The 22,399-nt window shown below is 33.6% G+C and overlaps 1 protein-coding gene across 59 annotated transcripts in view, besides 1 other annotated feature; it reads right to left on the bottom strand.

Moving 5' to 3' along the window:
• The window catches only part of ADGRL3 (adhesion G protein-coupled receptor L3), an 878,010-nt gene that overhangs the window by 67,472 nt on the left and 788,139 nt on the right, over window positions 1-22,399 (bottom strand). For all 59 annotated transcript variants that reach the window (NM_001387552.1, NM_001322402.3, NM_001387522.1 and 56 more), the window contains 2 exons: window positions 14,507-14,573; window positions 12,599-12,690 (listed from right to left, as the gene is read on the bottom strand). In NM_001387552.1, the coding sequence (NP_001374481.1) occupies window positions 12,599-12,690; window positions 14,507-14,573 (159 nt within the window). The remainder of the gene's footprint in view (window positions 1-12,598; window positions 12,691-14,506; window positions 14,574-22,399) is intronic.
• Window positions 18,103-18,637: an enhancer, noted in NCBI's record as "OCT4-NANOG hESC enhancer chr4:62857945-62858479 (GRCh37/hg19 assembly coordinates)". NCBI's record gives its function as "activates a minimal SCP1, AML or CMV promoter by ChIP-STARR-seq in naive H9 embryonic stem cells {active_cell/tissue: H9 hESC(naive)}" and the evidence as "EXISTENCE:reporter gene assay evidence [ECO:0000049][PMID:30033119]".

Genomic DNA, 22,399 nt, shown 5'->3' with positions numbered 1-22,399 from the left:
TAAAAACAGAGTAAGTTTTAAAAATTTTATCCCTGAATCATAACTGGATTCTTTCACTAATATTTTAATGATATAAATAAGAGCAATTCTAAATATTAGAGTGAGTTCTACCTCATAAAGAATTTGAAGACAGATAAATTACAATAATTAAATGTTCCCTTTTCATAAGACTTCATTAAATTTTCATTACGTAGATATAGCCACAGTAGCATATTAACAATAGAATATTAGACTTGATTTTTTAAAAACTGTTTCACAGCTTAAAAATATAGAAGGATAATCCTTTCAGGGAAATGACATTCTTATATTGTTCTTTCACAAATATATTTCCAGACATAATGTAGGGTGAGATATTTTTAAAATAAAATGTTTTTATAAGAGTACTATGTATTCATCATACTAGCTTCTGAAAACTCAAGAGTGAAATGGTGTAATAAAAAATAAATATTTGTTCTTCGTACCTGATTCCTGGCACAGAGCTCCTAAAGCCCTTGGAATCTTCCATGTGCCTTCTGCATACGAATGAGATGACTAGGTGTGTTGAGGGGGAAGGTGTGTGGTAAGGCGATGGCGGGAGGCTAGATAACTTCAGCATGGGGCCTCGTTCGCAGAAGGACCAAGCTAACATTAAAAGGGTAGAATGTTCAGCCTCCTCTCCCCTCCTGCACAATCACTGGGGAAAAAACGGGGGCTGGAGATAGAGCAGCCAATGTTGAATCAATCATGCCTATGTGATAAAACCTCCATGAAAACTTCCAAAGAATGGGTTTCAAGAAGCTTCTAGGGTGGTGAAAACATCTACATGTGTGGGAGGGTGGCTTCCTGGAGAGGGCATGAAAACCATGCCTTCTCCTCCATACCTTGCCCTGTGCATCTCTTCCATTTGGCTGTTTCTGAGTTGTAGGCTTTATAATAAAGCTGTACTCAGAAGTACAGCACTTTTCTAAGTTCAGAATTGTTCTATTAAACGATTAAATTTGAGGGATGGTCATGGGGACTCCTGAATTTGTAGTGGCCTGAGCAAAATGTGGGCATCCTGGGCACTCTACTGGCACCTGCTGCCTAAAGTGGGGGCGGTCTTGAGGGACAGAGCTGTTAACCTGTAGGGTCTGCACTAATCCTGAGAGTTAGTTTCAAAACTGAATTGCATTGTTGGACACCAGTTGCTGCTGGAGCACTGGTAGATGTGTGAAAAAATGGCATGTATTTGGTTCAGAAGTGGTGTCAGAAAATACCATGCAAGTGCTTAAAAAAGAAAATGTTAAATTATGCATAATCCTGGCACTAAAACATTATCATTATTAACTTCAGTACATTTCTATTTAGTCTCTTTTTTCTCTATATATAACCATTTATTTCTGACAAATAACAATGAGTGTACATTTAATGTCCAAAAAGATGTATTACACACAGCTATTTTATAAAGTACGCTTCATAAAATTTTATAATATATAACTCTATATTTTATTTTTAGAAAGATAGTTAAATAAAAAATTATAAGGTATCAAAATGTGTGCCTTATTATTGCTTGAAGAAAATGAATTGTGTTGCTTAGGTAATTTTCATTGACAAATAATTTTTCTCCAGAAGATATAATTTATTTAGTTTCTTAAATTCATGAAATTACACAACAAAGCTACTAAATGTGTTTGACATCTAACTGATTTTTATTTGTTAATAAAGCCTTTCGACAGTTGCCTTTTCTAGAAAGCATATACAGTCATGTGTCATTTAATGATGGGAATATATTCTGAGAAATGTGTCCTTAGGTGATTTCGTAGTAGTGTGATTATAGAGTGTTCTTACACAAACTTAAAAGGTTTAGCCTACTACACATCTAGGCTATATGGTAAAGCTTATTGTTCTTAGGCTATAAACTTGTATAGCATGTTACTGGGCTGAATACTGTAGGAAACTGTAACACAAAAGTATTTGTATATCTAAACAAATGTAAACATAAGAAAGGTACAGGAAACAAATGGTATTACAATCTTATGAGATCGCCATCATACATGCGATTGTCATTCACTAAAATGTCATTATGCAGTACATGACTGTGTGCCTGGATATGCGTGTATCTATTTTGATTATATATATGCATATATATGTATATTTGTATCTATATATACACACACATGCATATATACATATAGATATAAATAGATTTTATAATTGGAATATTAATTTTTAACCTGTAAATATATTATTATATATTAATATGAAGGAGAAAAATAGAAGATTAAAACAACTTCATAATAATGTTATATTTTTCAATATTACATAATTCTTTTCTAGGTAGATAAACGTTTTTCAACACACTGAATACTTATGAACCATGATAATTTATTGCACTACTTTAAAAGAAAACATCTACTGGTCAATAGGTTAGCCGGTCTCAGTCATAATTTTATCACATAAAGAAATAATGGTATTGTCTGCGTCCTTCTTATATAAGATCAGCCTTCGCTTGTACACTATACCCCATACTCTTTTGCCTACTCGTGTAGATGCCAGATGCCATACAATTTCTACTCTCTTTTCAATATCAACTAATTGTGTATTCTTACCAAATTAAAAGGAAGAGACTGTAACATATCTCATGCTTAAAAACAAACCAATTATTATCAACAACAACAACCTCCCCAACCTAAGATCTCTGTCCACTACTACATTTCTCAGCTCTTGTTTACAGCAAAAGACTTGAAAAGATTGTCTTTACCTGTGGTTTTTAACTCCTCCCCTCCCATTCTCCCTTCACCCCACTCTAATAAGTCTTCATCAATGGCTCTGCCAAACAGCCTTTGTCAAGTTCACCAAAGATCCCCATGTTGCTAAATTCAGTGGTCAAGTCTAAGTTCCCATCTTATTTGAAAAGCTAGATTCACCTAGCTTCCAGGATCTGTAGATTTCTTCCTATCTCACTGGCTACTCCTCAATCCACTTTGCAGGTTCTACACTTCTAAGATCTCTAAAAGTCAGAGTGTCTCAGGGTTACAGTCCCTAGTCCTCTTATTTTCACTATCTACCCTCAATCTCAATATCTTACCCAGTCTCATGGGTTTAAAATAAAATCGACCCTGACCCGTTTTCCCAAGGTTGTCTAGGTTTGAGGAGTGGCCAAGGGGTGGCTGGTTGGGAGAGGCAGAAAGAGCTTGAATGTGTGGGGCACAGTGTCCACATACCTGTGCATGAGGCCCCACATGTTGTGGTATCTAGCTGGAGGCAGGAAGAGAAGGAAGACAGGCAGTGAGCCAGGAGCCACATCCTGGCTCCTGGATGGAACTCTAAGATGTCAAAGGATTCTAAACTCATACTTGATCTTCCAAGTGGTTTTGAAGGTGTAATCTATCACCAGAGGAGGTTAGGAGATATATATACATATATATATATATACACACACATATATGTATATATATGTGTGTGTATATATATATATATGTGTATATATATATACGTGTATATATATATGTGTGTGTGTGTATATATATATATATATATATATATATAATCATTTTGTCCTCTTGCCCTGAGCTCTGCAAATGTTGAGAATGTCCTGTTCCCACAGCCCCTTTGCCAGACCTTTGCTTTCCCAGATTCCCTTGCAGCCGGGAGTGGTCATTTGATTCAGACATGTGATACCAGCAAGGGGCTTCTGAGGAATATTTTACATCCTGAACATGGGAGACAAGCCCATGAGGAAAGGCTCATGAAGAGAATCCCTTCTCTTATCTCTTCTTTCCTGCTTTTCAATGCAACCAAGAAAGGATATAATGATGCTTGGAGCTGAAGAAGTCATTCTTGGACCACAAGATGATACAGTGAATGACAACAGCCAGCATTCTGAGGATGATGTAAGAGCTTTGGTCCTTGTTGACATTATTGAGCTTTTGAACCAACTCTAGAACACTTACTTCTGAATTTTAAGTTTCATGTATCACCAGTGCCACTATGATTTAGGACACCATAGTGGTCAGCATTTGATACTTCCAGCAGTGGCCATTCTAACAGAAACATACTTTTTAGTGACTAGTGAGAGAAATTAGTTTGGCTGGAAAGTCACCATTTCAATTGTTTGCTCTATCTTTATGCCATTTTCACTGTTGTATTTTTTTCAAATCATCTCACTTTTATTTTCTTAATGTTTTAAAAGTAAATATATAACTGCCTTAAATTTTAGAAAACCAGGATAATTTGCTATTATAGAAAATAATAGATATATAAAGTGAAACCAATACCAAAAATAAATAAAACATAAGTAACACTAAATGCAAAAAAAAAAAAAAAAATCTATACATTGATGATTCCAAATTGTATCTTCAGCTTTCACTACTCCAACTTCCAACTCAGCATCTGCACTGAGATGTCCAGCAAGTTATCTTGCAAAAAAACAAAAACAAAAACAAAAACTGTCCTACCCCCAAAAGTGAAACCTCCACAGTTTTCTGCATTTCAGTAATAACCACTCACTGTTCTAGTACCCCAAGCCAAAAACCCTGGAGTCACACTCCACTCCATTCTCTTAGAATCTACATAAAAATGTAGGCTGGGCTCCGCGGCTCAGGCACTTTGGGAGGCCAAAGCGGGCTGATCACCTAAGGTCAGGAATTCGAGACCAGTCTGGCCAACTTGGTGAAACCCCATCTCTACTAAAAATACAAAAAATTAGCCGGGCATGATGGCACATGCATGTAATCCTGGCTACTTGGGAGGCTGAGGCAGGAGAATCCCTTAAATCCAGGAGGTGGATGTTGCAGTGAGCCGAGATCATGTCACTGCAGTCACTCCAGCCTGGGCAACAAGAGCAAAACCCTTTCTCAAAAAAAAAAAAAAATATATATATATATATATATATATATATATGTGTGTGTGTGTGTGTGTGTGTGTGTGTGTGTGTGTATGTGTATATATATGTATGTATATATATAAATAAAATAAAAACTAGCAAATTTTGTAAACTCTGAAACATATCCACAATTTTCATATTTCTCATTTGTTGAATAAATTAATAAACAAGGATAAAATCAAATCAAAGTTCATACATTAAAATTAAAATTAAAATATGTGAATAACATGGAACACAAAAGTTAATTATTGTAACTATTCTCTGATTTATTCTACTCTTATGAAATCTTACTCTTCACCATTTGGGGGAAAAACTATAGTCTTATGAATAGCTAGTTTAAATTAATTCAGATTTTTAAGCATTTCCATAGTCTGACTGCACATTTCTTGTGGGATATAAAGGTAATCTGAGTCTAAGCTCTATAAAAAGAACAGAGAACCTGCTAATTTTTATGTTTTCATTATGAAGAAGACATTTTCCCCTTAGATAGGTTTTTAGACTTTCTCATCCTTAGCACTTGACTCTCCTATATCTGATAGAAACCTAATTATTTTGGGGAAAAGTGAAACTATAATTTGATCTCAAGGATTAATGTAAAACAATTCCATTGTGCCTATGGCAGTCATCCTTCAAACCAGTTTTCTCAAATGTGAGCTTCCAGTCGACAAAATATGTTAAATACACTTATGCATAAACCCTGATTCACAGAAAGATCATATGGGAAATTTAATGCATTTTAAAGAAAAGCCAAAAAAGAGAGCAGCCCTTTTACATTTCAGAAAACTTAAAACTATAGCCTAAAATAAAGGATACAATGAGATGGACAATAACACTTGCAGAATGAACAGCTTTTTGAATCAGTGACTGAAATTCAGTTTTCAAAGAAGTGATTGCTAAATGCATTTAAATGCTAAAATTAAGGCAATCAGCAAAGGACCCACTATTACCTTAGGAAAGTCTCAACTTGTCTGAAGCAAGTCTAGTAGTGTCATTAAAAATACACAAAGCTCCACACAATGTTGTTTGGATTGTATTACTCTTTAAATACACTTGGATTGCTTATGATATTGTTATGGTGATTTCTAGTAATGTTTAAACACAGATCAAAGAAATAGAGGAAGACAGAAAAAAATGGGAAAACAGACAAATTAAATTCACTTTCAGAATTCTCTTTAAAAATGATTCTATCTTATTACAATGAATAAAATAAATGTATTATTTTTTCTAGCTAATTCTTAAAACTAAAGTGTTCACAGTATATACATGGGCATGGAGAAGTACATTTGATTTTTAAAATTTGGGAAAACACATCTTCAGTATAGCATGTTGACCTAATAATCTTTTTTACAAAACGTGTAACAGTTTTTAAACGTACTATCTCTAAATATTTAAAATAATTAGAAATCTGTAAAATCTTGATTTTAATTGAATAGCTTTGATGGTGAAAGACAAACCATGAATAAAATATATAGAGATATAAGCTAATATTTTTGTTTGCATAGACAATTTTGAGCCTCCTTCTTAAAAATAAAAATCGGTATATCAGTATTTTTTATCAGTAACTAGTATTTGAGAATAAGAAAGTTCTAAAAATTTTCCTCAAACTCATCCAGACAACTCTGCAATTGATGAAATTTTTATTTACTATACAACTCAGAGCTAGATTTACTGTTCTCATAAAGGCTTAAACTTTTAAGTTACTGCTTTGACTATAGTATAGAAACGAGATAATTTTAGCAAGTAGGCTATATATATTTATTATTAACATTAAGATGCATTTTTCATAAGTATATACATTATATTAATGTGAAATTGAAAAATTAAAGCATTAAAATATTCTTGCGATATTGTTGTATTTTTCAGGAATATGTCCATTTGATTTTCTGCCTTTACTTTTATAGACCTCAACCACAAAATACTAATATAATACTCATCAAGCTGAATGTAATTCTGACTTGTTTTTACTAACATTTAGACACATGTTTCTTAAAGTAAAGGTTACCTTCTTAAGAAATATAATAAGTTATTATGGGTACTGGTAAGGTATTTTACTATTCATCCCTGAAGCGATTCAGAAGCCTTCTTAGATTTCTTAGCATATGGCAGGTGTCCAAGCTCACTGAGGATACTATTCTTTTCCTCCAGAACTAAGAACAGAACTAGCTATTTATTAATCAAATGAGCATTCCACCCCTGGAGCCAATTCTTTCATAATAAGATAAGTTTGGCTTAAAAAAAGAAAGGATCATATCATGCATAATTCTTCATGATACCATATGGTAAACAAAACCAGTCAAATTCTAATGGGATTTTGATAGAGGCTGAGCAAAGCTTCACCATTAAAAACACAAGGAATCAAAGGCAGCAGGGCATTTCCATACAGAGTGGTTAAAAATATTCAAACCATCCTCTACGGGCAACAAATTATATGCTGTATTCTTTACATATGTGATTTCATGTAATTATCACAAAGCTCTATGAAATAGGTATAATTATTCCCCATTCAGAGAAGAAAGTAAGACCCAGACCTCTGATGTTACTTGCCAAGGTCGTGTAAACATTACAGGACTGAACAGAAATTCAAACCCAACTGGGTTTGACACTCAAGTTATTACTCTCCTTGACCATTATTTCTTCCTTGACAATTAGAGACTAGGGAAGAAGAAAAAAAAGTAAAAGGTGTATCTTTAAGCAAATACTTGTTTAAACCATCTGACAGAGTCTTTGCCAACCTATCACTCATATAAAACCTAAGGAGAGAGACTAGAAATCAGAAAACATGACCCGGTGACATCATAAGTCTTTATGCAGAAGTCCTTTGATGAGAAGGCGCAAAGGGACGGATACAGAAAAGCAAAGCCTGGTAGATTCCGTGTTCCCTTCACATAGGCACCAATGTTCTTTTCTACGTCTTAAAATGGCCATTATTTCACTTTTTCTTCAAAATAACTTGAGATGTTATTAAGCAAATTATTTTGAAATACATTCGTTAATTAATATTTTTCAATAATAGAAGTGGGTGATTAGAGAAACTATCAATTTTTATTTTGAAGGTAAATGTCAAGAGAGTTCTAAAGGCTCCTTACAAATGTTTCACATGTCATAGTACTTCAGCCATACTGTAAGTTAATTTTGTGCTGGTAACAATTCAATAACAGGTTTATTCATATTTACATATACTATTTTTAAATTAGGTTAGAGTTTTGCTATGATTATTGTAAGCACTGATTTTGACCTGTCAGAAACTCAATGAGAATATTCAAATGATTGGAATTCTTTCCTCTAACTATAATTACCTATTTGGATGAAACAGAGACAAAGGACAAGTAAGCAAGCAGCAAATAATACAGGCATGTATTATTTAATTTTAATTACTTTTTTAGTTAAATCCAAGACTTGGCATACCTCATTTCCCCTGTAATCATATTACCTATATTACTTCACTCTATTTTTTATTATTTTTTCTAGAGAATTCTTTAATATAGTAATGAGCCAACCAATTAAATGTTCTCTATTAAAATCAAAAGGGGTTTTCTATGATGACTTGCAATAAATTTAGAATTTTAAAAAGTTAATTTTTAAGATAATAAAATAATAATTTAATTAATTAGGATAAATAGGAGTCAGCCAGTCATAGCGTTAGGGAAAAGAAAGTGAGTAGAGAAACAGCAGAGATAAGATCTGAGGCAAAAGAGAGCATATCTAGAAGGGCCAGAGGGCCAAAATGCATAAAATGAGGCTGAAGAAAGACAACGGCAACTAGATCAGGGAGGTTTAATGGGCCTTGGCAGGAAGTCCGACCTTCAGTTAAGAGTAATGGGCTCTTTTGAAGAGTTTTACCTCAGAGTGTTGCATGATCAGATTTAAGTTTTTCAAGAGATCTCTCTAGCCAGTGAAGGCAGGGACAAGAATTGATGTGGACAGAGAAGTTAGGAGACCACTGCAGTGATTCTGAAGATGATAGTGGCTTAAAGAAAACAGTGGCAGTGAATATGGTGAGAAGCAAACACATTTTAGATAAAGGAGATATATGTGTGTGAAAGAACGTGTATAATCAAAGCAACAAATACTTGGTAACTGAATGAATGACTTGTTTTAGAAAGACACTGACTTCCAAAGGGCTTTACGTGGTGATTTTTTATTCTTAATGAATTGAACAAGGGGGCCTGTCTTGTTCACCATTTTACAAACATTTTTGAAAAATACAAGTAAACATTAACTTTAATGCTTTCCCCAATATACTAAAAAAAAGTTTTCCAGATAAATGATACTTATATCTTTAAAGCGAACACTCTCACATTTACTATACCATTTTGAATACATATTATACAGAGCCTTATTCTTGTTTAAAAACATGCCAGATTTTCAGTTTTACTTAATGTTCAAAATCATTATTACTCCTCTTAACTCCTTTTTTCTTTAGCAATTATGCCCTGCTGATTTCTTTACAACCACTTGTTAAATTGTTAATATAATGTATTTTAAATAAAAATGAAATTTTCTTCAGATTCTGGAAAAGATTAAGGAATATTTTCTGGAGATACCTTCCTTGTTGTTTTTCTTCAACATGTCCCGTTATCCTGCCAAAGACTATCTTTCCTACCTCATTGAGGAGACTAGGCAGAAATCCCTCAATTCACTGAGCTACCCCAGTTCCACCAACATATCTGCATCACACCTATTGTTATTTATTCCATCCAGTCTCAGTGGAAACGGATCCTCCTGTGTGGCTTCTTTTAGCTTACTGGAAAAATGTCCTTCCTGAAATCCAATGTAGTGGAATTGCTCTACCACTGCTCTGGATCACATTCTCTACACAACCTCAGATCACAACTATAAAAGTAATTCTCCTTTCCTATATTCTTAATTTCTCTATCACTGGTTCTTTTCCAACAATATATCTATATTCATAATTCTTTCAACTTAAAACCATCCTCAGCCAGGTGCAGTGGCTCATGCCTGTAATCCCAGCACTTTAGGAGGCTGAAGCGGAAGGATAGCTTGAGGCCAGGAGTTCGAGACCAGCCTGGGTAACATAGTGAAAGCCCATCTCTATAAAAAACACAAAAAAATTAGCCAGGTGTGATGGTGCATGCCTCTGGTTCCAGCTGCTAAGGATGCTGAGGTGGGAGGGTATCTTGAGCCCAGGAGGTCTAGGCTGCAGTGGGCTTTGATGGCACTACTGCACTTCAAACTGGGCAACAGAGCAAGACTCTACCTCTTGAAAAAAAAATAAATAAATAAAAATTAAAACAAAGAAAAAAAATCCTCTGTACCCCTTCTAACAACTACCCAATTTATCTTCTTCATTTACTAAATTTTTTAAAAAGCACCATCAAAGGTTTATGTTCTTCTGCCCATTTAATGGTCAGGTATATGTCATTATTATACCCATTTCAAAGAGAGGAAGCCACAGAAAGATTAAATACTTTCCAAAGAATATAACCTAGAAAACAGTTTAGACATAATTGAAATTAAGATATTTTCATTTAAGACTTTATTTGCTTTGTAATATAAAACTTGATGCTACCAATGCCACTAAATATAATTATTGATTTTTTCCATGTTTAATTATTTTTCTAAACAATGATATCATAAAGATTCACCCACATTACCTAAAGAAATACATATGAACATTATACAAACAAATTGATATTTTAAACTATGTGACAGTACTAAATACAAATCATAAAGGTAAGCAAAAGTCTTTACCTTTTGTTGAATTAGACAAAAAAGTAAAAAAGAAAAAAAAATTACCTAAAAAGTATACTTGAAATATAGGACAAAGAATGATCCTTTTTGCTAATTTATAACATAGTGCTACATAAATGTTAAAGTCTTATTCCCTTATTTCTGATAGTATTTAAATACATAATATAAATAATAAATAAAGTATTACTTATGTTTTATTTTATACTACAAAATAGGTACAAAGATGTAATTTGTGCTAACGTGGGTAAAAGTACAATATGATAAATTTATGTGCCTATTTAATTTATGCAAATTCAATTTCATCAGGAACAAATAGTCTAAGAAACCAACACTGTACTTTAGAAGGACAGTTTAATTGTACATAATTAAACAATACAATGACTATTATCTCAACTAAGTAATATTGAGAATTACAAAAGACTATCACTCATTGTAGATAATGTCTATTTTGCACCACTATATTTTAATTTTTCTAATTCCTTGGTTATCTTTTTTATTTAATGTAGACAAATAATTCCTTCAACAAAATTAACTACTTAATGTCAATACACCTTAGTCACTAAAGTCTTTAATATATTACTTTATTCTGTAACCATTCATTGAGGGTCTACTACGGGCCAGGAACTGTCAGGCACCGAATGTAGAAAGATGGGAAATGGGTGACATAATTGCTATCTGAGGTAGTTCAAGGAGAATGTCAGTAGCACAGAAAAGTCACAGATTACCTCATGAAACTTCTGAAAATACATTCATTTAAGTAAAAGCGTTTAATAAATATAACACCAGCATAGGCAAATTATATGAAAATGCAATTTAATATATCATATCTTAATAACTAATATGCATCTAAATATTACTATCTTTCTAAAATATTATACATTCCAAAGAAACACGATAATTTTTTTGTTATATCAAGGACTGCAACTATTTTTCTTTTCAGAAAATGTAAATTAGCTACTTTTTTTGCCTGTGTAAAGTACTACTACTGTTGAAAAGTAATGTGAATATTTTCATATTTCTGCATGGCAGAACTTTCTGAACGTACAAAAGTGGAACTTGGGTTAAAGAACAAACTTTCAAACTTGAAAGATGATTAAATAGATAAAGACTTCTGGAGAGATTTAGCTTTAGCTCCTAGGAGGTTAAGTGTTAATATTTCAGAGGAAGGTAAAACTTAGAGCCATATTTTTATATTACAAAGTATCTATTTACATTAGGAAGGTTTCTTTATCTCTCTCAGAAGGGGATGGCAGCCATCTAACAGCTCCTATATAAATGCCCACATTCATAATTCCAGGGTTCCTCTTCTGTGATGTAAAATTCCCCTTTTGGTACATGTAGGTACCATCATCTGGCTCTCATCACATTGCTCTGGAGGGGGAGATGGAGTGTGAGGAAGTGATGCGGTAATTGCTCTAAGAAACAATAATCAGGCCAGGTGCGGTGGCTCGTGCCTGTACTCCCAGTACTTTGGGAGGCCAAGGCAGGCAGATCATCTGAGGTCAGGAGTTTGAGACCAGCCTGGGCAACATGGTGAAACCCCGTCTCTATTAAAATACAAAAAAATTAGCAGGGCATGGTCGTGGGCACCTGTGGTCTCAGCTAATCGGGAGGCTGGGGCAGGAAAATCGCTTGAATCGGGGAGGAGGAGGTTGCAGTGAGCTGAGATCACGCCACTGCACTCCAGACTGGGCAACAAGAACGAAACTCCATCTCAAAATTAAATAAAAAAAAAAAAAAGAATAACCTGCCCTAAATGGAAACGTTGTGCTTGTTTTCAGGACACAATGAATATAGATATTTAAAACTTATCATGTTCCAAATTAGAATTTAGGAGAAAAAGTGTCTTTGAAAACAGAACTCTATTATACTTATTTTCAGGCAGATCAAGTCACTTTGATAGTCAATCAATAATCTTATTTAGCAAAGACAATACACCCATATTCTTTATCCTTTTGTCATAAGATTTTGATATAATAGAAAGGATAGTTTGGAGTATAAATGTAACACAACCTATAGAAAACAAAAATAAAAATCACTTACTTGATGTTATCAAGACAGCCTGATTCAGGTTTCAGTATAGCAGTATGATGAAACATTTTATATAAAGCAATCCCAAGGAAGATTACATTAAGCTGGAATGCAAAAGGTAGTGTTATGTAGCATAATTGGAGTAGGAACAAAAAAGCAAATTTATTCTCTATAACACATGAGTTGTTCTGGGAAATTAGGTCTCACTACACTTTTAAAGGAATTGGATCGTAGATGACTGCCTAGTGTTTTAGTAAAGGCAATAAGCCAGTTTCGAGAATTGGGATACTACTGAGTTACAAAGCACTACTATGCCTGCTATGCCAAATCACACAAATATAAAATCAGCATCAGCTGGAGTGATGCTGTGGAAATTTTGAAACAATTCAAAGTCTAGTGCATGTCAAAACAAAAACAATACTTTTTTAGGTGTGTTACTATTTCTACACTCTGAACATTTATCTAAATTTATTATTTAGTGACACATTTTCAAATACTGTATTACAAAAATACAAATACTAAAATCAATATATTTTTGTGTAGCTAGTTCAAAAGGATGATAAAATGTTGTTTAAATTCTGATGCTACAATAAATGAGGACTAAAGTAAAGGAAACCCCCAATGGTATTGTCATATCACTGGAAACAGAGAAAGCATAAAATTTGAAACAAAACAAAACAGAAAAACAGAAAGCTCTCATGTAAACTTCATATATCACACACAAGTAAACTGTATAAAAAAACCACATAGTGAGTTGCCCTTTACCACTTGATTAATTTATGTATTCCACAACTTGGCAATAAAAGCCCTCCTGAAATACTCTCAAAAATACATGTTCGCAATACTTTATCAATCATCCCCAAATCCAAAAAATCTGCAAAATGAAGGTTGTTAAAAAAAAAATCCATTCAGTGGCCAAAAAGCCTAACATGAAGTAAATCTATGTGGTGGGAAAACCTAATTTGAATTGACATAAGGCTGTCCATGGTCTTTCCACTATTTGCTCTTACCTTTCCTTTTTTTTTTTTTTTCTGTTGAAATACTGTATTTGATTACAGAGTGCTGCCTAGTCTCCACTGTGAGTATTTGTTGATGTGTTTGATTTTGGGTAACTGCCTATTCCTCACTAGGGTTATTGTGTATTACGCAATATATGTACCACATTATCTTTCCAAAGTCTGAAAAATTTCTGATTCCAAAATACATCTTGTCCCAAAGATTTCAGAGAAGAAACTGGAGACCTATATTTATCCAAAGTCAATAGGCTAACATTTTTTTCACAAAATGGATAGCAACTTTGTATTTTTAAAATTATAAGTACATAAGCAATTATACTAACAGTTTTATCTAAATTAAGTTAATCCATTCTTGAAATCAGAATATTATGGATCTAAAAACAGAAAAGGAAGCATGATTCCAGAATGCAGGCTTAATGTGATTGTGCCATTCTCAAGTAAAATGTTAAAGTTTTGCTTTTAAATTTTAAAGTTTTCAAGATTCATATAAAAAACAAAGCTGATAGGAACAGTCAGGTGTTTTCCCACCTTTCTAAGTTCTGTCAGTTCCCAATTCAAATTATCCAAAAGAAAAATAATGGAAATACACTGTTTTCAACCTTAGAGTCATCCTTGTTCAAATATCTATAAAACCAAATGTATTATGTTGGATTGGACCCTTGAGTAGCTATAACACTCCATAAGCTTTTGCAAATGAATATTTTCTTCTCCCACCTGTTTTGATTAACCATTTTACAACATAAAAGTAGACTATAATGAGTGTTTAATTGCTTGAATTATGTAGGGTCAAATAAGTACATGCTTTCCCCAAATTAACCTCTGTAAATTAAAGACAGTCAGTACTGGGATAGTGAAAGTTTTACTTCTTGATCTGGGAAACACATAGTTAATTAGGAATTCTTACCATAATTATCAAAGTTGCTGGTCCTATAAAACTCCAAATGAAGTAGGTGTCAAGTCGGAGCCAACATCTGCAATGAAACACAAGGGAGAGAAGGTATTCAAGGACTGGGTATGGGACATACATCAAGAGTGAACCTGTGACAGAGAAGAATGTGAGCTGCAAAGCATTCCACTGGGAGACAGGAAATATTACATTGCTTGTTCATTTAAATGCTGAATTATGTGCCCAATTTCTGACAGCACTATTGATGGAGTAAGATAATTAGCCCTGGAGGAAGCAGGAAAATATGGCACTGGGCCTATTTGCTAAGGCCTTTTGTGTCTGTCATAGAAACTTTTAAAAAAAAAAAGATAAAGAAAGAAAAAGCCATACACATAGCCATTAAATCAAGTAGCTTTAAGCTATCCTTTTCTCTCCGATTATGGTGCTACATAACCTGTCTATCAGCTGTCAGGCAAAGTGACATTTTCCTGTCAAGAAGATCTGAGGAAATGTGGTACAAAGAAGAAATAAATTTGGTATCAGAAGATTGAAGTTTAATTAGGTTGGGCAGCCAACCTTTGAGATTTCTGGAGTCTTAAAAAGTGCATTGTTACTGCTCATACTTCTGGGGTTGCAAATGATCCTTAGCATCCCATGAAGTTGATTCATGACCCAAAAGTAAATTATTAATCACTTAATTTCAGCTACATTTAATACTCCCCCAATTTTTAAAACCTCTGGGAAATTACATTTTCGTTCTTCAGGATGACAGGAAGACAAAATGGAAGTGACTAGTTATGAGAAAGATTAATGTAAATTTTGAACAAATTACATTTGATGTTAAAAATAATATCTTGAATTATTTGCCATTTTGCCATAATTGAGGCATCAGAAGAAAATAACTCCAGTGGTAAATATTCAAGACTGGTTTGCTATATAATATAAACATGGAAATCCTAAGTACTCAAATATTTCTGTGATTATAAAAGTTACTTAAACCTAAGCAATAATGGAATAACAGAAATCTATTAAGAAGGGAAATTAGAAATGCCTATCAAAAAAGTAATGAATAAATACAATATTTTCTATTCATATGATGAAATGTTATAAAACAGTTAAAAAGGAGGAAGTAGATCTACGTATGTCAATAGGATTAAAAAAAAAAAGTTGGGGGCTGGGTGTGGTGTCTCACATCTGTAATACCAGCACTTTGGGAGGCCAAGGAGGGTGATTCACTAGAGCCCAGCAGTTTGAGACCAGCCTAGGCAACATGGCAAAACCTTGTGTCTGCAAAAATTAGCTAGGCATGGTGGTGTGCCCCTGTAGTCACAGCTACTCAGGAGGCTGAGGTGGTAGGATCACCTAAACCCAGGCGGTTGAGGCTTTAGTGAGCTGAAATCACGGCACTGTGCTCCAGCCTGGGTGACAGAGTGAGACCCTGTCTCAAAAAAAAAAAAAAGAAAACCAAAGTTGAGTAAAAAAGTACGGGACAGAATCTAAACTATATCAAATGTATATATAATATAGTGTGTATATATACATGTTAAACATACACACACAGACATTAAAAACTACACACAATATATTTTTGATGGATATATATATGTTATTTAATGGAAAGAAAAAAAAATCACCAAACTCATGTTAGTGGTTGCCTCTCACATAAGAGTAGAGAGCACTAGAAGTGAACAAAATGGGCTTTAGCCATATGTTTTAGGTTAGTAATTACTGACAGCAAATACACTAAAATGCTAACAATTTTAACATCTGAGTAATGGAGGCAATGATGTTTATTATGGTTTTTGGCTTCCTTTACTTTGCTATAACGTTTAAACTCATTTTAAGAGCTAGATTTTTAAGCAAAAAAAAAAACCTTGAACCAAAACAGATTGCCTACAAAAAGCCCATTTTAAAACAATGAAGAGGCTAGCCACAGCGGCTCACCCCTGTTATCCCAGGACTTTGAGAGGCCACGGCAGGAGGATCGCTTGAGCCTAGGACTTCAAGACCAACCTGGGCAATATAGTGAGACCTCATCTCTACAAAGAAAAGAAAAAAAAAATAGCTGGGGATGGTGATGCATGCCTGTGGTCCCAACTACTCGAGAGGCTGAAGTGGAAGGATGGCTTGAGCCCAAGAGGTCCAGGCTGTGGTGAGTCATGAACCCGGCACTGTACTTCAGCCTGAGCAACAGAGTGAGGCTTTGTCTCAAACAAAAACAAAACAAAAACGAAAAACGAAGTCTGGCCTTCTTCTATTAAGTTAAATACATGTAAACTAATTTCAGTAGAAGTACAATAGGCACTCTAACAAGAAACTGACTACAAGTTCTCATTTTTTATGTAGACAAGATAATTTCTTTATTCAAAGTAAACACAATAAACCTGTTCGAAAAAATGCTATTAGTGAAGCAATCAACGCTCAGTTAAACACCATTGGTTTTTTTGGATAATTAGTTACCCTTTTGTTGTGACGGTGTTCAAAAAACTTGGTCATATGAAACAGAAGTGTAGTGCTAAATATAAGCAGAAACAAACCAGAGAATTCAAGGTTGAAATATGAACATTGTCTTCATTCTGACCATAGGCTAGCTTGTCACCAACTTAATAAAAGAGAGAGAGAGAGGGTGTATGTGTGTATGAGAGAGAGTGAAAAAGAGCGACAGAGAGGGAGAGAGAGAGAGAGAGACAGAAAAGAAACTCTTGGGGAAGGAAGATTTTCAAAGGTCTAAGTTCTGAACAAAGATCGTAATTGTATTTTCCCTCAGGGTAGAAACAATGAAGGAGGCTGGGCATGTGGCTCAGGCTTGTAATCCCAACACTTTGGGAGGCCGAGGTGGGTAGATCACTTGAGGTCAGGAGTTCGAGACCAGTCTGGCCAACATGGTGAAATCCCATCTCTACTAAAAATACAAAAATTAGCCGGACCTGGTGATGCATGCCTGTAATCCCAGCTAATCGGGAGGCTGAGGCAGGAGAACCTCTGGAATCTGGGGGCAGAGGTTGCAGTGAGCCAAGATCATGCCGTTACACCCCAGCCAGGGTGACAGAATGAGAATTCACCTCAAAAAAAAAAAAAAAAAAAAGGAAAGAAAGAAAAAAAGAAACAGAAACAAAAACAAAAAAACAATGAAGGACAAAACCAAAACATGGACATTTTCCCAGACTAGATCAGACACACACACACACACACACACACACACACACACACAACTGCAGCCCATGAATGCTGCTGAAATTATAGCAACATGATATAATAGTAATAATACGTTTTAAGAATGACTTAATAATACAGCTCTCATTATTTTGTAGGTCAAATAAGTTTTTGAAAGCTAATCTGAGAACTAAAACACATTTTCAGAAAAAGAAATGTGCTTCACAATCTTCTATAGAAGATTATTTTACAAGTTAAGGAATCTAAACAAATACCTTTAATTATATTATTAACAGTTGTCTTGGACTAAGGGAATTTTAAAATATTAAATAATCTCACCAAATGTTTTGTTAAAGTAAAATTATAGCCTTGCAAAACTTTGCTTTTTTGAAAATGGTCTCAGCTTAGCCAATGCTTTATTTGGAAATGTGCTTTTGGCATAGTGATCTTTTCTAAATGTAAAGGAGCATTTCAAAATGATTATTTTTATTCTTTGAGAAAAAATTTTATATCTATTTGGTAAAATGGATTTACATTTCCTTTGGAATTGAACAGTGAAAGAGGCAATATAAAATACGTAAAATGTACTTAGTAAATCATCCCTCCATGAGGGCTGCTGGGGCTTTACTCTCTTCTGGAAGGCTGTGTGGCAAGAATCCCTTTTCTAATTTGATTGCCATATGGCCACACCTGCTGTTGTTTCTGGCCACATGCTGGCTTTCTCAAAGCCTTCTGTATTTCCTCCTCTTCCTATTAACTACCTTAAAAATTTGCATGATTCCTGTCCCAGTTCACTGTGGCTGTTAAAACAATTCATTCAGCCTTTAAGGTGGAGAAGAACGTTATGTGGGGTGTATACATACATGCCTGAGCACATATATCCTACCTCACAGTTCTATAAGTCTCACCATTCAATGACATTTAGATACAAGGTAAAAACACTGGTTAAGGTGAGACAAAGCTAGAAGAACAATTTATCACACTAAACACACTGAAGTCCAGCTTGTGAATGGTAAGACAGACCTGCTATTGAAGAATACAATTTATCTGAAAATTGCCTTTATCTACCTAGCAACATTTAATTTGTGAAATTAGTAATTTGGATTGGCCATTCACATTTAATTTTTAAGATATGGCAATTTCTTTTTTATAAATGAAATTCAATCATATGTATATCATCTATACATTATATTTATAAAAGTACTGTAACAAAAGACATAAGAGACTTGAGAAAACAAGTGCATTCTGACCACACTCATGTTTATTATATATGTATATTATATATATCATGTAATATTATAAATATATTTATATATAAATGTATTTTATAAATATAATGTATTATATTTATATATATATGGCAAGATTGAGAGAATAAGAAAGGAATAAACTGGGCAAAAAAGAAGGACAGAAGAGAGAAAAGGGACAGGTATATATGCCAAGTATAATAAATCTAGGCCCCAGCTTATTGCATAATATGATTGTTAGGAATTTTTTTAATGCCATTTTCATTGCAGCACATTCATACATCTAATGTTGAAATGCTTTGCAAGCAAGTGCATGAATTTTTAAAAAAGGTTGGTGGAGTGATACAGGGATGGAGTGCAATCAGTGGTGGTCAAGACTAGCATTTGAGGTTCTGCTACAGTTTTGGATCTTAGAATTAAACACTACTTCTAATATATCAAAAATAGATTGTGTTGTCTTTATTTCCTCAACATGTTATATTTTTTAAAAGAGTTTCATTAGTTTTTTCAGCAAAATGCATCCTACATTCTATGATGGACTATAAAGATAAGAATTATGGCTATTATAATTTATTAATACTACTAAATGTTGAGTGATTGCCATGGTCTCATCTTAGTAGAAGATGATATCATAAGAATTGTGTACAAGAAGCCCCCGTGACACAAGTTTACCTATATAACAAACCTTCACACGTACCCCTGAACCTGAAAGTAAAAATAAAACAAGAATTGTAATCGCTACTCTAGTAAATGGTTGCTTTTTAATACAATCTATTTTGTAATTGAAAACAACGTTGCTGATCATGTTTGTATTTCTTTATTTGTATCAGCCAAATAATAGTACCAGTAATAATAAGAGGTCTAATTTAATAAATACTTAACTATGCTAGACATAGATGTCTAGCATATATTTTACATATATACATACTGTTTACATACATACATACACGTTGTATACATATATACACTGATTCATAAATACGTACACACACACACACACACACACACACACACACACACACAGTTTCAAACATCGGAAGAGTCTTGCAAGGTACTTATAATAACTCCCACTTTACAGATTAGGAATGTGATACTCGGGTAAACTACCCACAGCCACACAGATAATAAGTAGTTGAGACTGAATTTTATTCTAGTCTACCTGACTCCAAACTCTCTGTGGCTACTAGATGTTTCTCCAGAGAATAATGATATAAGTTATAAAACAACTAAAGGTGTCGATTGGTTGATAATTATAAATTCTCAATGAGTAGGTGAGAAATTTATATGCTGTATATAATGCACAGATTACTGAAACAGGTCTCAAGTCAAAATATCAGATCTTTCTAAATATAAGGTCATCTCGATGTTAGTGAAACTTTTAGTATTATTAAACAGCTTCACTGCAATATGATTTATATATCATAAATCATTTATTTAACAGAGTATAACTCCAAGGTTTTTAGTATATTTAAGAGTTGTGAACCCATCAGCATAATCTAATTTTATATTTTCATTTTACCAAAATGAAACTCTGTACCCACCAAAAGTCACTCCCCATTTTCAACCTCCCACTGCTCTACAATGATCCATCCACAGTCTCCCCAATCTTAGCAACCACTATATTTTCTGTCTTTAAAGATTCGCCTATTCTGGACATTATATATATATGGGAACATATAATATATAGTCTTTTATAACTGGCTTTAGTCACTTAACATAATAATTTTAAAGTTTATGTATTTTATGGCATGTGTTAATACTTCATTTTTATTGCCAAAAAATACTCCATCATTTAGGTATTACACAGTTTACCTTTTCATCAGTTGATGGGCATTGGGTATTCCCATGTTTTGGCTAACATAAATAATGCTGCTATAAACTCTTGCATACAAGTTTTAACATGGACCTTAGTTTTTATTTTTATTTTTTATAAATGCTTAGGAGTAGAATTGCTGGATCAAAACTATGTTTAACCTTTTGAAAATCTGTGAAACGATTTTCTGAAGTAGCTAGCTACACCATTTGACACTGCCACCAGCAATATATGAGGGTTCTCATTTTCCACATCTTCAACAATGTTTGTCACTATGTACCTTTTATTGTAGCCATCCTAGTGGACAAAGTCATCATATATTATACATGATCTTTAGATGTCTAATGATAGCTGTGGAAGTTGTTATACTTCTTTGGTACCAATAGGAACTCAGGTCTAATATTCAATTTTAAGTCTAACATTTCATTGCATTTTAAAAATAACAGCACAGTGGTCCTGATGATCTCTGATATAGTCCTGGTATGGATAACTTCTTAATAGAAAAAAGTTATGCTTAACCCAGAATTCTTAGATATGATGATAATTGTATATGTCCAATCAATCATTGGCTTTCTGGATGATAAAATGGTGACACAATAACCCTTCAGTATTTACTACACATACACATAAAATGTTCTTGGCCTTTAATAAAATAGTATATAAACATACACATGTACTCCCTGTAGACATATTGAATGATGACCTTCATATGTCAATAACAAATACTTCTTCATTATCTGTATTATTTCCTACTGGCCAAGCTATAGTCAAACACACCTGGTGATAACATTACAGCAAGGTAAATGCTTTATGTCAATGAAGTGTTATAAGAACATTTTATAACATCATATAATAATTGCTTAGCAAAATACTCCTTAAGTGAAAATATGATTCTCTATGAATTTGAAATGCTAAGGAATTGTGAACAAAATAATTAAATAAATCTATGCATATAACTTGCATATACCATCAAGTTCAATCTTCCTTAACTAACCTCTTTCTTGAATAATACACTAATCTGATATTTTTTAGAAATCTATAATCACTTTTCTACCTACATGATTATGCTGGTTAGATGATGAAGTGAAAATAAGGAAGTCTGGGGTCTTTTAATTAACAGAGGAGAAAGTACCCCTTTGAAAGATACTCTTAAGCTAGTGAGCTGGGAAGACAAATGTAAAGTTTAATAGATAATTTACAACAATTTTCAGATCATAAAATTTGATTTCAATTATTTTTAACAGCTTGGCTATTCTTCTAGGACTCAAGAATGTTCTTATCAATTATAAATGTTCATGACTTCATCCACATATTTAGAAACTATTCATCAATTTTTTAGCCCAGATTTTCTCTCCTAGACAATTCTCTGGGCTTTACCCCTTCCCAGTGTGCTCTCTCCCTTTTCCTGGTACCCACTTCTAATTCCTTCTTCCAATCCACTGCTTTTTCATACATGAGACTGAGTCGAAAATGCTATAAACTATCAATGTGATTTTTTTAAAAGTAAAAATTTACTGTTCAAACAGTTTGCATGTTTTGGTAATATTGGAATAATTAAAGTTTAAATGAAGTGATTAGTTTCAGGTCATAAAACCAAAGTATTTAGCACTGAATTTCCAAATGTTTCCTGATTGAATTACTATTAAGTCAATGACAGCCTTTGCTATAATTATCTTCTGACAGTATCACATTGATGGC

The sequence above is a fragment of the Homo sapiens genome, chromosome 4, assembly GCF_000001405.40.
Source record: "Homo sapiens chromosome 4, GRCh38.p14 Primary Assembly".
Lineage (NCBI taxonomy): Eukaryota > Metazoa > Chordata > Mammalia > Primates > Hominidae > Homo > Homo sapiens.
Note: the sequence above shows the minus strand (reverse complement) of the source record. Positions and strands in the feature narration are given on the sequence as shown.